The 19,758-nt window shown below is 37.9% G+C and overlaps 1 protein-coding gene across 4 annotated transcripts in view; it reads right to left on the bottom strand.

Annotated features, from left to right (window-relative positions):
- Positions 1-19,758, bottom strand: part of GPC6 (glypican 6) — a 1,191,492-nt gene that overhangs the window by 102,128 nt on the left and 1,069,606 nt on the right. For all 4 annotated transcript variants that reach the window (XM_047429990.1, NM_005708.5, XM_017020300.2 and 1 more), the window contains one exon: positions 19,414-19,544. In XM_047429990.1, coding sequence (XP_047285946.1) covers positions 19,414-19,544 — 131 coding nt within the window. The remainder of the gene's footprint in view (positions 1-19,413; positions 19,545-19,758) is intronic.

The raw sequence follows: 19,758 nt of genomic DNA, 5'->3' as shown, positions 1-19,758 counted from the left end.
CACATTTCTTATGAAACTTTTACCTCCAATAAACTCTAATTTTGAAATGTAAACAAGTATAACCACTAATATAACAGAAAGAATTACCCAGACAGATACACAGTGACCAACTATAATCCCTGACTCATAGTTTCAGCATACACAGTCAATCTTATTATTGGTAGATACATATTTGCAAATTTGCTTACTCATTAAAATTTATTTGTAACCCCAGAATTAATACTCACAGCACTCTCATGGACATAGAGACACAGTGCCAAAAAATCTGAGTCATGTTCCCAGCTGAGGTTGGAGAAGACACTCTCCTTATTTCAGCTCTCAGACTGTAAACAAGTGTTCTCTTTGTGGTCTATGTAGTACAATGTTTTTCACATTTTTGTGCTTTTTCTTGTTGATTTCAATGTTTAAAATGGTCCCCAAGCATCGGGCTGAAGTACTGTCAAGCTTTCCTAACCACAAGATGTGTAATGTGTCTTATAGCAAAAATATGTATGTTAGACAAACTTCAAGCCTGAGTTATAGTGCTATGAGTTCAATGTTAATGAATCAACAATATATATTAAATAAGGTGTCTTTTCACAGAAACACACATAACACAAGGCTACATATTGATTGGTTGATGAAACTGTTGTGCCCAGTGGCTTGCAGGAGCCTAACCTTGTATTTCTCATTGCTGCAACGGTTCAGTATTTGCTAAGTCAATGTTTGCAGTGACTTTATAGAACATAACTACAATAAAGAGAATCAACTGTACTAAAAATAGGGATTGCAATAGTTACTCCACAGGATGATTTCAGGATTAAATGAATTGTATCTCACTTTTACATACTTGAATTTGGCATTCTATAAACATCCGTTTGGGATTCCTGTTATCATGACAAATTATTTCATTGTATAGCACATAAAGCCAAATAATTTCAGTAACTCCCCTTTGAGTAATGAAAATCTCTACTGGAAGAATTCTTTAAAAACACTCTCTTGAGCAGTGGTATAGAAATAGGACAAGCAAATGTGGATGAAATCCATATAATAACAGCTTCCTCTAATTTTGTTGTTGACAGCTGTTCATGTCACAATTAAGATTGCTATGGGAAATCAAACATTGTATTGTAATGATCTTAGAGACTGAGCTGCCAGTTCTTTTCCACAGTGATTTCACTCAGGGTGGTGTGGAGACACTTCCTTTGCTGTTTTTAGAAGCTTTACACTCTGTGCTGGTTATCGAGAGATAATACCTTTACTAGAACTACAGGAAATGCAGTAACATTTTCAGGAAACTTTGATGAAGTTTAACTTTATTCTATTTCTTCCATTTCTCCATAGCAGATGATTTTTCTAGATATTTTTCCTTCAGTAAACTTTTTGGGGTTATTTACATGGGCTGATCCTTAACTTGCATGTAGTATACTTGCAACGCATTCGTTCCAGTTTTGTTATTTCATTCTGTGTTGTCTAACTCTAAAACAACCATTTTTCATCACGCATATGATGTGATTCCACTGAAGTACGCAGAGAGCTCCTGAGTGCCATTCACAATGACAAATTCCGTCTTGAGACACAATTCATTTTGTTTTACCACTACAGCTAATTTTTCTTTTGTTGTATTCAAAAGTTCTCCTTCAACTCAGCATTTTGCAGAGCGGCGGTACTTTGTCTTGGCATTCCTCGAGATTGGTCTTAACACACTATTGATTATTCTTCTCTCACACAATTTCTGAAGCTGATGGTGTAAACCGATGTGATAAAGATAGTGGGCCCTTTTCTCCGTAGTGCCTAAATCACTTCCCTCTGGCAAGGTCGCTGCTGATGGAGGGCATTAACATTTCCAAAGCTCCAGGGATCTGTTGAGTGTGCTATTCTGGATTGCTTTGAAAGTGACAGCTGACTTTTAAAAAATGTAAAGCCTAAGGCGAAACAATACTAACGGCCTTGCTGAGATTTCATGAAGCCATGTACTGAAAGAGTTAATGGACTTTTTAATTCACCCTTTGGGAAAAATGTGGCTCACTGGGTTAAGTTAAATCAAAGAAACACGAATGCCCTGAAAGAATATTAGTGTTCTAGGGAGATATTTCATCATAATGGAAAAACCTCACGTTTGCTGGAATTTTTTTTTTTTTTTTTTTTGGAGGGAGTTAATTATTACAGAACATAGGTTAGTCAATATAGCCTAGTAGCTTTCTGTTATTTAGGTCAGGTTTGGATGTTGAAGATAGCTTCCATGCAGAAATCACTGGGTCTGTGACCAAAACTGAGGAAAACACTGACTTCTAATTACTTTGGAAACAACACCTGGCCACATAATCAGGTGGAGACCTACATAACAATCTGTCACAACAACCTCACATCTTGAAAGCCCCTAAACAGAGATCCTATCATACCCTTAGAAAAACAGAAGTGCCATAAAAGAAACCCTTTAGTGTGGAAGTGAGAGACAGGACTAGCTGGATTTCCTAGGCCGATTAAGAATCCTGAAGCCTAGCTGGGAAGGTGACCGGATCCACCTTTAAACACGAGGCTTGCAACTTAGCTCACACCCGATCAGGTAGTAAAGAGAGCTTAAAATGCTAATTAGGCAAAACAGGAGGTAAAGAAATAGCCAATCATCTATCGCCTAAGAGCACAGGGGGAGGGACAATGATCGGGATATAAACCCAGGCATTCCAGCCAGCAAGGGCTACCCTCTTTGGGTCCCCTCCCATTGTATGGCAGCTCTGTTTTCACTCTATTAAATCTTGCAACTGCACACTCTTCTGGTCTGTGTTTGTTACGGCTGGAGCTGAGCTTTCGCTCACCATCCACCACTGCTGTTTGCTGCCGTTGCAGACCCACTGCTGACTCCCACCCCTCCGGATCCCGCGGGTGTCCACTGTGCTCCTGATCCAGCGAGGTGCCCCTTGCCGCTCCAGATGGGGCTAAAGGCTTGCCATTGTTCCTGCACGGCTAAGTGCCTCGGTTTGTCCTAATTCAGCTAAGCACTAGTCGCTGGATTCCACGGTTCTCTTCCGTGACCCACGGCTTCTAATAGAGCTGTAACACTCACCCCATGGCCCAAGATTCCATTCCTTGGAATCTGTGAGGCCAAGAACCCCAGGTCAGAGATCAAGAGGCTTGTCGCCATCTTGGAAGCCACCCGTGGCCATCTTGGGAGCTCTGGGCGCAAGGACCCCTCCATTACAGAAGTTCCCAGCCTAGGGATCAAGAGCTATTTTTCAGAATTTTACAAAACCTAATGAGAATGGTTTACAAAGGAGTACTTTGCCGTTGTTTTTGCTTAGAAATGATAAAAAAACTTTTGTATTAGTCTTATACTGAGAATATACCTTAACATATATCCATCATATAACTTAGATGACTTACAAAGTAAAAATTAATAATTTGATGTTTAATACATGTGTCTGAATATTTGTGTCCTCCAAGAATTCATAAGTTGAAATCTAATCACAGATGTGATGGAATTAGGAGGTAGGTCCTTTGGGAGGTGATTAGGCTCTACCCTCAAGAATAGGATTAGTGCCCTTATTAAAAAAACAACAACAAATGATCCGGACAGCACCCTTGTCTCATGTGAGGACACAGTGGGAAGGTGCCATCATCTATAAAACACCATGCAGGTCCTCACCAGACATCAAATCTGCTAAAGCCTTGATCTTAGACTTCCCAGCCTCCAGAAATGTGACAAATAAATTTCTGTTTTTCATAAGCCACCCAGTTCATGGCATTGTGTTATAGCAGCCTGAGCAGACTAAGAAGCAAGCAATCTGTTATCCTGAAAAAAGTATTTTTAAAATATGAGAGTCACGAGGTGGGTGACAAAGGAAATTTTTGGGCAGAAAATTTGGACCGTCTCAATTTTCTGAGTTTGCTCTAGCAGCAGTATAGTTAGGCACAGTTTTGTGGCTCATGAAGGCCATGGCTAGGTTAGTATAAGAGACCAGTTAGCCTTTTCCTCAGTGGCTTGGGTATCCCAACATTTTACATTTTGAATAAGGGAAAAAAACAATTGAGAAATAATAATGTGATGGATAGGGCCATAGGTTCAATGAGAGTCAGTAGATCAGTTGGTTATGGCTGGAGATGGAGATTGGGATCATCAGCTTAAAGATGGTACTTAAAGCCCTGAAACTGATTGCATTTACCAAGGACAAGTATATATAGGTGGGCAGATGGATGAGGCTGAGGACAGCCTATTGCCATGCCAACATTTACAGGGTCCTCTCTGAGCCTCAGTTTGCTCGTCTGTCAAATGGGAATAACAATATTATTTACCACACAGATACACTATGATGATAAAGTACAATATGTAAGGCAGAAAAACAGAACCATGTGTCTAGAAAAGTACATACCTGATAGTTAATTTTATCATGCCATAATCTGTATTTTCCAGAAGTTTTGCTTTCTAGATAAGAAAATTTGAAGAAAAAATGTCTGGTCTGATGTTTCTTGTTCTTTTCTTTCTTTTTTTAACCTTTTAAAAATCTTTTAATTTTATTTTAGAGACGGGGTCTCACTCCGTTGCCCAGACTGGAGTGCAATGGCACAAACACAACACCCTGCAGCCTCAATCTCCTGGGCTCAGGCTATCCTCTTGCCTCAGCCTCCCGAGTAGCTGGGACCACAGGTGCATGCCAACCACACCCTGCTAATGGATGTCTCTTAAATGTTTTCCACAAAATATTATTTTAAGGGCAAATGGCTGTTATATAAATCATAGATTCCACCTATTAAAGTTAAATTAGGTAACTTCACAAGGGCTCCATCATGATAACATGTGGTCAGACTCATTGACAGGGAGGATGACATCAGTAGTGTTTCCCAAAACTATTTGACCATGGTTTCCTCATGGGGTTCTCATAAGACTGGTGTTCCAAAGAACCCACCCTGAGATATACTGTGAAGGTGGTTGTAACCTGCCAAGGAGAGACGTGATTCAGATAGAACTGCATTTACTTAGAGGTATTTGTGAAGCTGTTCCACCCTCCTCTGCTTTTAATTCCAGAGAAGAATGCTATTTTAAGACACTAAAGGGCTTCTTTTTACAACAGAACAGAAGTTTTTAGAGGTTATCGCTGCAGGATAAGCCAACTTATTGTGGTACAAATCATTCGCTCTACCCCTTTAAGAAACAGAATCGGTATTACCACCTCCTGACCGCTGCCTGCTTCTCTCCAAGGGATGTTGAAAGTGATAATTAGATAATTCGGGAAAGTATTTGGAAGCTTCAATGCAGACAGATGCTACAGATGTACAAAGCAATTCTCCTTCCACCTAGCTGACTTGCAAAACCTGTGGATTTTAGGAAGATATCTGGCTCATGAATCCTCTCTCTTAAGAGGATTACTAAGATAATGTCTCAGAAGTCTGTTGGCATTCTGAGATTAAAGAAGCTGACATTAGGATAGGAAGGGCTGAAAGGAGAAACATTTTATAATTCTGGAGGGATGGGAAGGAAGAGGAGGTGTGGTGATAACAGGTTTAAGTGCTGTGTCTTAGGTTTCTAAATACAAGTATTTTTCCTTTAAAAATATTAGGGCATCTTAACGTATTTCTCTTAAAATAAACTAAGGTGCCCACTCTTTTGGAGGCACATGTAGCTTTATACCTTTACCTCTTTATCTTCTTTATCTTCTTCATTGTCTTTTGCAGCTTGATTATACATTTAAAAAGTCACTACTGGTAACCTGAAAAGCAGTGGCTGCAGGTAAATCCCGTCTCGGCTCCTGTGGTTTTTAAAAATTCTGTCTTCCCACTTTCTACTCAGCAGGTTTCCATAATGGGGGAAAGGTGCTGCTATTCTCATATAGGCAAATATTGAAATTTGCAAACAGAGCTCTAATCTTTTATATTAAATCCAGGTAACAGTTAATGTTACCTGGATTTAATTAGATTTGATGTTTTAAGGGTAATGTTTTATTTACCTATGAGATTCTAATTTATATTACAGTGTCAATGAATGAACTGTTAGATTACTACTTGGGAAATTCAAATATATTCCATTTATACTCAAGGAAATAGAAGCTATCGTATCTTCATTAGTGTGGATACCATATATTTGTCCAGGTGCAGCCATTATTTTCACAAGAAATGGCTGTGGAGTAACCAATAGGTGTTATCAGTGCATTCTGGTGGCTATAACAAAATGCCTTACACTAGGTAATTTATAAACAACAGAAATTTATTTCTTACAGTTATAGAGGTTGTGAAATCCAAGATCAAAGTGCCAACAGATTTGGTATCTGGCGAGGGCCCTCTGCTTTATAGATGGCACCTTCTTGCTGTGTCCGAATATGGCTGAAGGGCAAAAAGGACTAACAAGCTCCTGCAGGCCTCTTCTGCAGGGGCACTACTAATCCAGCCCATGAGGGCTTCACCCAGATGTCTTAATTACCTCCCACAGCCTCCATCTCCAAATACCATCACCTTAGGTGTTAGGATTTCAGTATATGAAATTTGGAGAGACACATACATTCAGAACATTGTAAAAGGTCAGAAACACAAGTCTATAAGTTTGGAATGTTAATATTAATCTTTCTCCTAATACTTGTGTGACCTTGGGGTTACAATGTTCTCCCCAATTCTCAAAGCTGTTGGGAAGATAGAATGATATGATGCATAGAAGAATACACTGAAAACATGAGGTATAATGGTGCCTTATTTTAAGTAAGTAATCTGTAATTAAATAGAATAATAATGGTTAATAAATCAAATCTAAGGATTACGCAGAATTACCCATGAATAATTTAAGCTCTATGATGAATAGGTTTTCATACATTTTGTTCATTACTGTATCCCAGTATCTGTAGGAGTTACCAGCACATGATATGTGTTTGAAAAAATTGAGAATGAAAGATTATGAAGAAATAAAATTTTTAGTCATAATCGTCCCCTTTTGCAAACATTTATTGAAGGCAATTAGCATGTAGATTTCTGTAATGAGAAAGAAAAGATAGGAAAGGAAAGACAATGAACACTCATCAAGTGTCTATGATAGGACAGACACTTCACTGTGCTATGTGTTTTATATGCATTATCTCAAATGATCAATTATCTCTTCAAAATCAAGGTTGAACATTTCTTCCTCAGACTGAAGGAATGAATCATGTATCCATGTAAAACAAATTATTTGCTATTTCCTTTACTACATTTACTGGGCTAAATTAAAGCAAAGCCAAATGGACAACTTTGTTTAAAGTGATAACGAGACCCAAAATACTGTTTCCTGATCAGTTGATAATAGCCACTCAGTGAGCTTGATAAGCCAGTTAGGAGGACCTTGCACACAAAATAGTTAGATTGGCTTCCTGATTGGCCCGTGGGAGAGCTATCAGAGCCGTGGGTGCTGGAGACAGCTGGGCTCAGAGCTCAGGCAATGGCCACTGCTTACTGCAAAGTGGCAGACAACTTGGGCTCTTTACTTCCTGGTATCACCAATCTGTCAAAATGATAAACAGCGGCACCTGTACATTGGAGCAGTTGTATCCTATCCCTGCCAATGATGGTCTAGGTTAAGCACAGAGCTAGGGCCTTTCTCAAAGTGGAAGTGGTGACTGAAATGTGTGTGCCTGGGAGCATTCACGTATCATTAGGAAGCAAATCAGAATTAGTTGAAATATGTTAAAAAAATTTCATTAAAAGTAGTAGCAAAAGGAGCTACATTATACTATTACATAAGATAACTGGCACCTTAGAAATTCATTTCACACACTTTTAGGGGATTTCTAACAGCATTTATCTAATAGCATAAAAAGTGGTTTCCTGAATATAAACTTAAAACATCTTGATGACGACTTTTTCTTTAGATATAAAATTATTATACTCACTACAAAGGCATTTTAAATGTCAGTTTTTTTTTTAATTAGTGTGGTAATTTTTTACGGGTTGCCTTCTAACAAAACAGTTATTCATCCTTAGATCTTAGAATAATCTCTTCTCTAGTCATCTTTTGTCTTCCCTTTCCTCTCATTTTGTTTTTCTCTTTTTTCTTTGCTCCCTGATTCATGCGTTTCTTTCCTTAAAGATTGATTACAATGGTCCTCAGGCCAAGTTCTCTGGCAAACTCTATGTCCCTGGATGGGTTCAGCACTCTGTTAGGAGAATTTTGGGTTCTACTGAACCAAGGCAAGCCATCAGTTTTAGTTTTGTCCACTTTTCATTGGCCTCAATTTTAAAAAGCCAGCTACTGTGTCAGTTTTAAGGTTTAAAAAATTTACTCCTGATGCTCACACAGCTTGGTTCCAGAATATCTGTCGGATGTATTGCATACTTCTTAAAATCTTTTCTACAATAAAAGAAATTCTTTTCATTTGCATTGCATGAGAAGATATTTTTCCCTGAAGGATTTGCATTTCTCAGGCAGCAAAACACCTTGATATTTCCTCCCAAATGGTGAGGAAGGAGGAGTTACAAGGAACTTTACAAAGCAAATTTTTGAGTGTGGAGAGGAAAAAAGCCCTAATCCTCTTGGCCTGACTACATGATTATTATTTCATATGCCCTTTGCTTGTAAGGTTTAAAGCAGTTCTGTAAGATCACTTTGCAGAATATAAGTAAGCATGTAATTTACATCAGACGGGCTCTACCATTCCTTCCACCTACGATTCAACAAATATTTGTTGAGTGTCACAAACATAAGTGCTGGGGATATGCCAATTGGACACGTCCCTGCTCCCAAGAGGGTTTGGAGAAGAAATCAGGCAATTATTATAGAATGTAAGAAGTGTGACGGAACACCCACAGGGGCAACTCACCCAGGCTGGAGCATCTGAGAAATCTTCCTAGAAAAGCAGTGGTATGCTGGACCCAGGTCTTACTGGGCCATGCAACTACATGTTAAGTTTTTAGGAATTTCATAAGCCAGTAACAACTGCGTTTAACAAACACATTGTTAATAATAATAAACACATTATTAATGTGTTTATTAACAAACGCATTGATTATTAAAAATTAAGTTGTATAAACTTACAGTTATATGAATTATATTAATAACAAAGTTAATAATTATACTAAAATCTCATTACTTTCTAATTATTTTACTGTTATCTATGCTCTTAAGGTTAATTGTGTCAGTCGTATCTATAAGGAGGAAATGTTACATCAGGGTGTTCTACTCTGTGTTCAGTGACATTATGTTGGTAGTTTGAAATATGCACGAGGGAGTAATTACACCACAGAAATGGGCAAACACTACAAATGAGCATGTTTCCCCCACAGATGTGACTCCTTCACATGTTTACATGTAGGCTGGCTGAGGCAATGACTCGATCAGAACCAAACCAGATTGCATATCACCACACAGAAGGGAAGTGCTGAGAGCTGGGATAAGGAGGTGTATTTATGAGACTGGGCAGAGGCCATGAAATTTCTCTAACACAATACTTCACTGCCCATGAGAAGCACAGTTCCATGGCAGGTGCTCTTCTCTTAAGTAGGAAGAAGTCAGAAGGAGACTTTTTTTCAGGAGACCAGGAGAGCACCTTCTCTTGTTCCTAAGAATACACATTGAGTGTTAAAGCTGAATTGTGTTTCAATCATTTATTCTTGAGTAGGCTACATTAAATGTAATCTTCTCATCTTACGGCCCTGAAGTTAAAGTGAAAGCAAATCTTCAGAAAAATCTCTAAAGATTAGAGAAAAAGGAGTTTTTCTTTATCATCAAAAGGAGAACACTTTTGTTGTATCCCTTTTACATGCAAGGAAAGTTAAAACTAGTTCGCGCTGGATGGGTATCACATAAATGCATCATAAGCATGTTTTCAAACCTTCATTTTACTTTCTAAAAAAAGGTGTGCTTCCCTCTTCCCTCTGCCCTAGCACCTGAAAAATCTGACCCTGTTATCCAGCAATATTACAAGCAGGAATAGAACAAACCCCAATTTTATGTGTGCTAGGTAATGAAGTCATCAAAGAATAAACGATGTTTCAAGGTCCCTGTTTCTCGGTGGAGCGCAGTAAGTGGGAACTGATAGGCAGAATACAAATAGAATTTGAATAGAGAAGATACTGTGAATTTAGAAATCATTGAGAACATGCTCTTTTCCTTTAAAAACAAAACTAAAGAAGTAGAAATAGAATGTAAAGCTTTATAAATAGTATGGCCATTCACTTTTTTCTTAGAAATCAGGCAGAAGGGACCAAACAACCTGTCAATGAAGCAGGCCAATTTTTCTCTCAATGTAAGAATAGTGTGGAAATTATTATTACATGGAAATTCCTCTAAAGCTCTTTGCTATGGAGGTGTTGATGTAGCCAACAGGCACAGACTAGAGTTGGATTGCTGACACAGTCTCCTGCACTACCCCTTCCCTTGAGCCTGCTTTCTCCTAAAAGCCTTGTTCATAGACATTTATTTAGAGATCCATCTCCCTTTCTAAGTGATTCCCTGCCATCAAAAATAACACCATACATCCATGGGTTTAATGAAGGGGTGTGGATTGCAAGTCTGATCTTCCGACCTTAGGTGCTAAAAACAACCCCACAGACTATCATAGGTGAGACAAGACCAATGAGTCAGTGCTCTTTAGAATTTAGGTACCATAGATATTTTTAATAATAGCAATTAAAATGCTTAGCCTTTGGGAGTGGTTTTGATTTGACTTACTCCATGGTAAACATTTTACATGGATTATATCATTGTGCTCTCAAACAACCTTATGAGTAGGTACTATAGTCATTCTCATTTTTAATGTGAGTTAATTTAGACAGATAAAAAATTTGCCCCAAATCACACAACATAGAACAACTAGATCCCATGTCAGTCTCATGTCAAAAATCTGACCTGGTAACTGCTATCCTAGTCTAAAGAATACTAGACTAACTTCAAGTACATTTTAAGGTATTTTCTATTCCTTATCGCTGGAAGTCTCTCTGGCATTATATTTTCATGTTCTGAATTCAACTCAGCACAATGTACTGCTTCTTCCATGTGTAAAACAATGTGTTAGGAAGACTCTTTGCAGAATGTTAGAATGAATAAGATGTAACTCTTGTCCTCAAATAATTTATAATCCTGGGCAGGAGAAAGTAAGCACAAAAATAACCGTAAAAAAAGGAATAATATGCTCACTGCCTTACAACGGACATGCTAATACAGGAGCTCAAAGGAAAAAACAGATAAATGATACTGGAACAAAAATATATTTATTTGAACTAAATTCTAAACTAATCCTGATATCTGAAAGAAGATATTCTCTCCATCTGAATTTCCAAGATATTATTTTCCCCGAACATTTTGAAAGGAAAAAGATCTGGAGAAAAAAAAAAGATCTGGATGCTGGAAAAAGAAACCTGTAATAATCAAGGCTATAATGTTCATAAAACTATAAACTATTAGAGCTGGTAGGGGACATTTAGATTAACCCCTCCTTTCACAGATGAGGAAACTAAGCCCCAATAGCTAGAGACAGAAGTTATTACATTCTCTGTTCTGTTCTCTTAGGGTTTTTTTTTTTTTTTTTTTAATCTTCATTTGAGCTGTGGATTGGGAAAAACTGTCTAGAGAAAATTAAGTACCTGAAGGCCATCCTGCTCATCTTTAATGGGTTCTACCCTCGTCGGTAGTAAGAATTAATTGAATGGATGGTTTCAATTGGAATGTAATAAGTCTTCCTTCTTAATTTAGATTATCTCTGACAAACCAATCTTTTCCTAGATATTAGGTTTGAAATTATTCCGAATATAGTTAAATGATATCTAGTGAGATCAGTTTCATCTTCCCTGATAGGATAGGAAGAAGGTTATCAACACATCTGAAATTCAAAGGCAGAGATTCAGGTTTTTTCTCCCTTCCCTTGGGGAATTTCCACAAATCTGCAAAGTTCTGAACTGTTGGGTAACTGCGGTTGTGGAAGATAGTGGAATAATGAAGGCTCTTCCCTGCCTTTGATGAGGATTGAAATTGGTGAATGTAGTAAGCTTGGTTGGGGCTTGAAGCACTAACAACTACATTTCTTATCAATAGGTTCCCTATATATAGTACGCTGTGGGTAACAGTCCTCCCTTAAATGGCTGGCTCCTCAAAGGCTGAAGTCTATCTGGTGCTGGTGGGAAGGTAATTACTGAGGAAACAGCATGGCATGCTGGGAAAGTCTTTGTCTTTGAATCTGACAGACCTGGGCTGCAATCCCCGTTACACCACTTGTTTGTTACACGACCTCAGGCTTGCTACTTAATCTCTCTAGACTTAACATTTCTTACCTGTATAATAAGGAAATGAATGTTCTTTACAAGAGTGCTGTGAGGATTTGAAATAAATACATAAGGCATCTAGAAAGACCAAGATGTCACCAGAGCAAGGACTCTGTCTTGTCCTCTGTATTAGTCCATTTTCATATTGCTATCAAGAACTGCCCAAGACTGGGTAATTTACAAAGAAAAGAGGTTTAATTGACTCACAGTTCCCCATGGCTGGGGAGGCCTCAGGAAACTTAAAATCATGGCAGGAGAAGCAGGCGTGTCTTATATGGTGGTGGGTGAGAGAGAGTGTGTGAAGGAGGAACTGTCAAACACTTATGTAACCATTGGATCTTGTGAAAACTCACTCACTATTACGAGAACAGCATGGGGAAAACTGCCCCCGTAATCCAATCACCTCCTACCAGTTCCCTCCCTTGACATGTGGGGATTATGGGGATTACAATTCAGAGATGACATTTGGGTGGGGACACAGAGCCAAATCAAAGCATTCTGTATTGTATTCCTTGTGCCTGGTACTTGGTAGAGTATTTGTTGAAAGGATACAGCAGGTGTTCAACCAAGGGTAACCATGGTTGTCACTGTTACTGGGAGATTCTTTCCTCAAAAGGAAATTGGGAAAGTTTTAATATGCTCTTGCCCCTGGTCTTTAAAAATGTATACATACATATAATATTGTACAAAAAGTATACAAATGCAGTTTGAAATGAGCGTCATGTTATTACCAAAATATTCTAACTTGGTTATACAACTAGGCATAGCCAATATATTTTTTGGAAATAATCTCAATGCGCCTCATCCCTAATAGCTTCCTTGTGGGCCAAATAGGAGAGAAAATGGATCTGACAGTCCCTATAAAAACAGATCTGAGACAAGACTGAAGCATGAACATACTTGGTGAGAATAAATCTTTTCTTTAGTCTCTAAGTCCCACTTATTCATGATCTCAATTATTAGGCAGGAAAAGATTAGCTATTCCTTCTCCTAGATATGATGTGAGAGTTTGGGGAAAGAGATATCCCATCTGAAACTGTGTTGTGTTCACCTTTGGCCTTCATATACATAAGAGAGATACATAAGAGATACATAAGAGAGAAAAAAGATACATAAGAGATACATAAGAGAGAAAGAAGAATTTTATATTGTGTACTATCAAAACTCTAGGAGAGGTTGGAAGCAATGAATGACAGGGCTGGATAAGAGAAATATTTAATTAGAATTTATCATATGGAAGTACTAGGCATAGTTGTAAAGGGAATCAGGCAGGAGGGAGCTTGGGTCGTCCTGGCTTTGCTACCTTTTCCTTACCTTCTCATTGCAGGTTTTGCTGAAGGCTGTTGAACTTTCTCCTAATACTTAATCTATTCAGCAAATATTTACTGAACCTTGCCCTTGTGTGAGATTGACTCAGTGGGCACTGACATCATTAGGGTTAGGGTTAGGGTTATGCATCGATTAGCGAGATGGGCTTTGGAATCAGATGCTCTTCTACCCTTTGCACCGTGAGACCTTGGTAAGTCACCTAACTTCTCTATCTTGGAAAATAACTTTTCTGTCTTTGCGAAATAGGGAGCTCTATCTCATCACAAGCACTATTATAAATATTACACAATAGAAACCATGTAAAACACTTAGTATTGTCCCTGGCAGTAAGCACTCAATAAATACGAGTTGGCAGTTATAAATATTGTTGCTTTTCTGAAAGAGGCTCTGGGAATGACTTCTAATAGTAACTGCTTTAATAAAATAAATGATTTCCAAAGGAGAAGTTGCCAATCATATCCTAGAGGAAAAAGTTATTTTAATTTCTAAACTTTACAACTCTCAGGATATCTGGCCCTAATTAGGAGTTAGCTTCTGGCCTCACCTGGAGCTTGCCTCTCAGAAGTTAACCATATTTCTGGTTATGTAATTTCTCAGCCTCAGTCTGGAAATCCAGAACTTCAAATGTGATGAGACTGTTTATCAAGAGTGTCCCAGGGTTTCTTTGAAAAAAAAAAAAAAAAGATAAATTCAATCACCCAGTTCTTAGCTAGAATATAGATTTTAGACTCTAGTTCATGTGTATTATAATTTCATGGATGTGGCTTATATGGAAAATGAAACTACAGATTTCTAAATTTAAAAGAAAATTCCATTCCCTTGATGAAATAAAATCTCTTTTCAGAATACATCTGTTCCACCAGCAAATCCTGTTGGTGTTTCCCATGGAATTTGTCTAAATTCCAACCACTTTACCTCTCCATGATATTTAAAGCTGGCTTTAGTTCTTCCTTAACTCCGTCTTCCACATTAGGCTCCTGGCTTCCTTTCCCTCTTTCCTGAAAAGTTTGGCTGTTCTCTCCTCTTCCTTAATTCCTTGCGTCCTCTTTTCTCTGTACCAGCCGTACCAGACACACTATTTTGTTTCTGTCATTTTTTTGACCCTTGGTCCTGTGTCCTCTCATGTGAGTGGACTCTTACATGCCCTATATTATCCCTTTTTTTTTTCTTTCTTTTCTTTTTTGTTTTGAGATGGAGTCTTGCTCTCTCGCCCAGGCTAGAGTGGAGTGGTGCAATCTTGGCTCACTGCAACCTTTGCTTCCTAGGTTCAAGAGATTCTCCTGCCTCAGCCTCCTGAGTAGCTGGGATTAACAGGCATGCACCACCATGCTTAGCTAATTTTTGTAGTTTTAGTAGAGACGGGGTTTCGCCATATTGGCTAGGCTGGTCTCGAACTCCTGACCTCCGGTGATCTGCCCACCTGGGCCTCCCAAAGTGCAGGGATTATAGGTGTGAACCACCATGCCCGGTCTCCCTATATTATTTCTACTCTTGATTTTAACATTTCTTACAAAGATATGTATCATATTAAAGTACATTCTTTATTAACAGCAATACTATAATAATGTAGTTGGAAAAATTCCACAAAAATGTCTAATTTGCATTCTAGTAATAAATAGCCCATCTGATCTCTTGAAGAATTTTTAATACTTGACCTAAACTATAGTTAATAACAAGGTATTTTATACTTGAAAATTGCTGAGAGAGTAGATTTTAAGTGTTCTCACCACAAAAAATGATAAATATGTGAGGTGCAATGCATTTGTTAATTAGCTTGATTTAACCATTTCACAATGTATACATATTTCAAAACAATCTTGTAACATCACATGTATATACAATTTTATTTGACAATTAAAAATAAATTTAAAGAAGATAATCATTTAGTTAGCAGATTCTTTGCACTGGGCCAATTTCTTTTTTTCTTTTTCTTTTTTTTTTTTTTTTTTTTACCTTTCTAGAGCCAGAGTCTCATCCTGTCGCCCAGGTTGGAGTGCAATGGCATAATCATAGCTCACTGTAGCCTCGACCTCTCTGACTCAAGTGAACCTTCTACCTCCGTCTCCCAAGAAGCTGGGACTACAGGCTCATACCACCACGCTGGGCTAATTTTTATTTTTTATAGAGATGGGAGTCTGTCTGTGTTGTCTAGGCTGCTTTTGAACTCATGGACTCAAGTGATCCTCCTGCCTCGGCCTCCCAAAATGCTGGGTTACAGGTGAGAGCCACCACACCTTGCCTCTTCTTTTAAATTAATGATTTTTATTACTTCATTAAATATCTCTTAAATAAAACTGTTTTTATGCCACTGACTTGATTCATACTAAACTGCTAGCATTGTTTTTGTGCCATCAATACAAACATCAACATAGTGGGGAAAGGCAAATCCTGTTTGTTTTATCATAAGGAATAGTTTTGATTTCTCAGACAACTCAAAGTGGTCATGGGGGCCCCTAGAACACCATGAACCCCAACTTGAGAACTGCCATTTTAATTTGCAAAGATATTCCATAAAACCGTATTATTTCTTCTTTGTATCTAGCTATTTTATAGATGAGGATGGAGCACTAAGGGATATTTCAACACTTAGTATATATTAAGAACTTAAAATCTGTCTTTGTGATATCAGTGAGTAAACTAGACATACCTAAAATCCAGGTCCCCTGATATCTGGTCCTGTGTTCCTTTTATTAAAGATTTATTTATTTTTCTAGGTTTGGATGGACATAGGGAACCAGTAGCAATGTAAAGGAGGAACATCTAACTGTCTAACCTCCACACTGTGCCACAAATTCCATGGATTTGTATGGCGGTGAGTGACATTAGTTACCCTGACTTGTTACACTACAAAACTTTGTGGGAGTGATTTCAGACATTGGATTCCATGTATGTAGACTATGCTCTCAGAAATAACATTTTTTAAACTTGAAGCTGGCCTCCCAGTCATCTCCCTGTGTGAACAGGCCAACTCTCCTAAAAAAGGAGCTCTTTTAGTTTTAAGTGAAGAAATGTAACTCCACTAAGAAAGCAGGGTGCAGGAGTGAAATGACCAGCCATGCAGCAGACTCAAGACAAACTGGTTGAGGACAAACAGTGTAACTATTACAGAAGTGGTTTCTTTTTTTCTTTTTCTTTTTACCTTTAAGCTCTGTCGGACTTGAGAAGGCATGGTTTCTTTGCTTGAAATGGGTCCATTTCTTAACAGTTGTTTGCAGCTCACTCACTGGTGCATTTCCTTTTTTTCTTCATTATGTATTCAACAAGCATCTGCCTACAATTTCTATGTGCCAAGTGCTGGGCTGTGTTCTAGCTACACAGCTGGGATCCCAGTCACTCATGGAGTTTTAGTGAGTGAAGTCAGGAGAAGACTTGTAGGGAACAAACACCAAACAAATACATATATATATTATCTATCTATCTATCTATATATCTATCTATCTATCTATCTATATTTGTTATATATATAACAAATATATATATATTTGTTATATATATTAGTTATATATATAACAAATATATATATTTATTATATATATTTGTTATATATAACAAATATATATATTTATTATATATAACAAATATATATATTTATTATATATATAACAAATATATATATATTTATTATATATATTATATATATATTTGTTATATATATATAACAAATATATATAATAGATGCTGTGACAGATTTCTGTGATAGAGAATTGCAAGATGGACATACTGAAAGGTAAGAAGAGTGAAAAACATTACAGAAGAGAGGAGCTACAAGTATACTCAAGGAGCTGAGAGAGAGAGAGACCATGTTGCTGAACAAGTAAACAAAAGGACCAGTGGTATTAAACAAGGTTAGAAGGTAGGCAGGGGCCAGATAATGCAAGAGCTTGCAGGAGTTTTATTCCATTCTAAGTACAAAAGAAGCCACTGAAAGGCAAAGTGGGAGACTGGGGACATGGAGGGAGGTGGGTGTGGTGCATGACCGTATTGATGTTGTAGAAATACTTTGGCTACTGGATGAAGAATAAATTGGAGGGGGTTCCAGAGTGGAAGCCAGGAGACCAGTGAGGAAGCTGTTGCTTTTAGAGAAACTGAGGTTCCTTGAAAAAAATATATAATAAGTGATAGAAACTTCCTGTTCAAATATGTCCAGGCCCTGGGGGAGGAGAAGCTTCTTCCTATTACTTATTATTGTCTGGTGCTATGTTATGTTAATTAATTTATATAATTGCTGATCTGTTCAGTGTCTTGTCTCTCCTTTTAGAAAGTAAGCTTACTGAGGGCTGGAATGGTGCCTTATTCACTCCTGTCCCCAGTACAAAGCCATGTCTTCCACATGGATTCCCAAAAAATATTTGATGAATGAATGAATGAATGGAATGAAAAGGGTAGAAAAGAATACTTGACTTGGAAAATGTATGCACACGCACCAATGGAAACAGACACCTACTTCTAAGAAGTTGTGATGGTCTCAAACTGCAGATAATTTTGTCCATGTGTTCCTCCTGTCCTAGTCTCTAGAGCTGTTTTTAACATTAGCAATCTTAGCACCTGATTACTTGAGCACCAACGGGATACCGTGCCTTTCAAAATAACATTAATTGGTTTCTAGGCATAGATTTGAGAGGAATGGATGATTGCTATTTTTTCCACAGGAAAGAAAGAAAATGGCCTTTCATGGAAACCCCAAATGTGCTATTTCCCCAACAGGTGATGGTAATTTGGAGCATCCTCCTTTACACAGGCTACACTGAGCTCATTAAAACCCCCAAAAAGGCTTATGAAACTCTAGCTCATCCATCTCCCATGGAGAAAAAGGGACCCAGGCCAGATTCTTTCTTCTCCTTCATCCTACCAGTTCACCCTGAAAAGCCCAAACCTAGTTTGAATCATGCTTAGCCAAGGAGACCTAGTAGGAATCCATGGCTCCTTTTTCTTGCTCTGCAATGTCTTCCTACTACCTGTCCCCTCCTCTGTGATTACATTTGAAATCTCTTTCACAAAGGATTTTAAAAATTAAAGAAAGCTAATCATGCAACTCTTTGCCTGACATATTTTAGTGTAAATGACTTTCAATTAAAATGCAATCACTCGGTCACTGGGTTTAAAGGACTGATATAGATTTGGTTAGTGTTTCATGAAAGGGATACTAGTCAAGAGAACAGAAGGGCATTGTGCAGTCATCACTATGGGAGAGAAAGATTGATGAAGGAAGAGGCGGGAGACCCACTGCAAACTTCTCAATTTTGCTTAAGGCGGGTCCTGTTTATCTTCAACTGGGTGGAGACAAATAAAAATTGTGCACCTGGCATTTGTGTTGTACAGCTGCAAACCCAGGAGCTCTGTCTCATATGATTTATGAAAATGTGCTACTTTTTTTCTTTTCATGTGTGCTTGACTTCATACAAAGGAGCATTTTCTCCTGAAGATTTGTTAATGAAAGTTACACCATAGTCTTAAAAGGAAGTCAGATGGGATGTTTAATTATTTACAATGGAAAATATAGAACATGTGCCTGGTCTGCACAGCTGAAGATATAATTAGAAGTTGCTAGACAGAGAACAGGGCGAGGGTGTGCAGACATTTCAAACATTAAAAAGAAAATTCCCCCCAAATTGCTCACAAATGTGAGGGATTAGTCAACATACTTGGGGCTCTCTGAAACCTTTTGGCAGCCCATAATTTCTTCGTGATTGAGTAGTTGCAAGCTAAAAAATTGCTTTCCTTCTCAATGCCATTTTGTTAGACATTTTTAATGAAGTAGCAAATTTGTGGCTCAACAGGAAAAGCTCGCTGACAGCATATTAGAATTTATAAGCCCAGCCGACATATCTAGTTACTTCGTTTTTAGGTTATTGCACCTGTATAACATACATGTATTGGCAGATACATTACTAATGCAAATACCTTTGCAGACACCTGCATGCTGTTTTCTTGCATGTTCATAATGGCTTCAGAAATCTTGACATCTATCGGGTCCATGACCGACTCAATGTTGAATGGCCCCTCCAGTCGCTCTGCCACCAAGAGCATTGCATCTGTTAAAATACAGGAACATGATTTATTTGCAAACTGGGAGCTCCAGGTTCCCAACCTGTGTTTAAACATTGTTAAAACAACTGGATGAAAAATAATGGTGCATTCACGTTTTTAAATTTGCTTTCATATAGTCCAAAATGAAATAGATGACTGAATCTTAGGACGATTGTATTTTGTTTGAAGATTCAAAATTATTTTATATGTCTAGAACCA

This window comes from Homo sapiens, chromosome 13 (genome assembly GCF_000001405.40).
Source record: "Homo sapiens chromosome 13, GRCh38.p14 Primary Assembly".
Classification (NCBI taxonomy): domain Eukaryota; kingdom Metazoa; phylum Chordata; class Mammalia; order Primates; family Hominidae; genus Homo; species Homo sapiens.
This window is presented reverse-complemented; position numbering and strand designations above follow the sequence as displayed.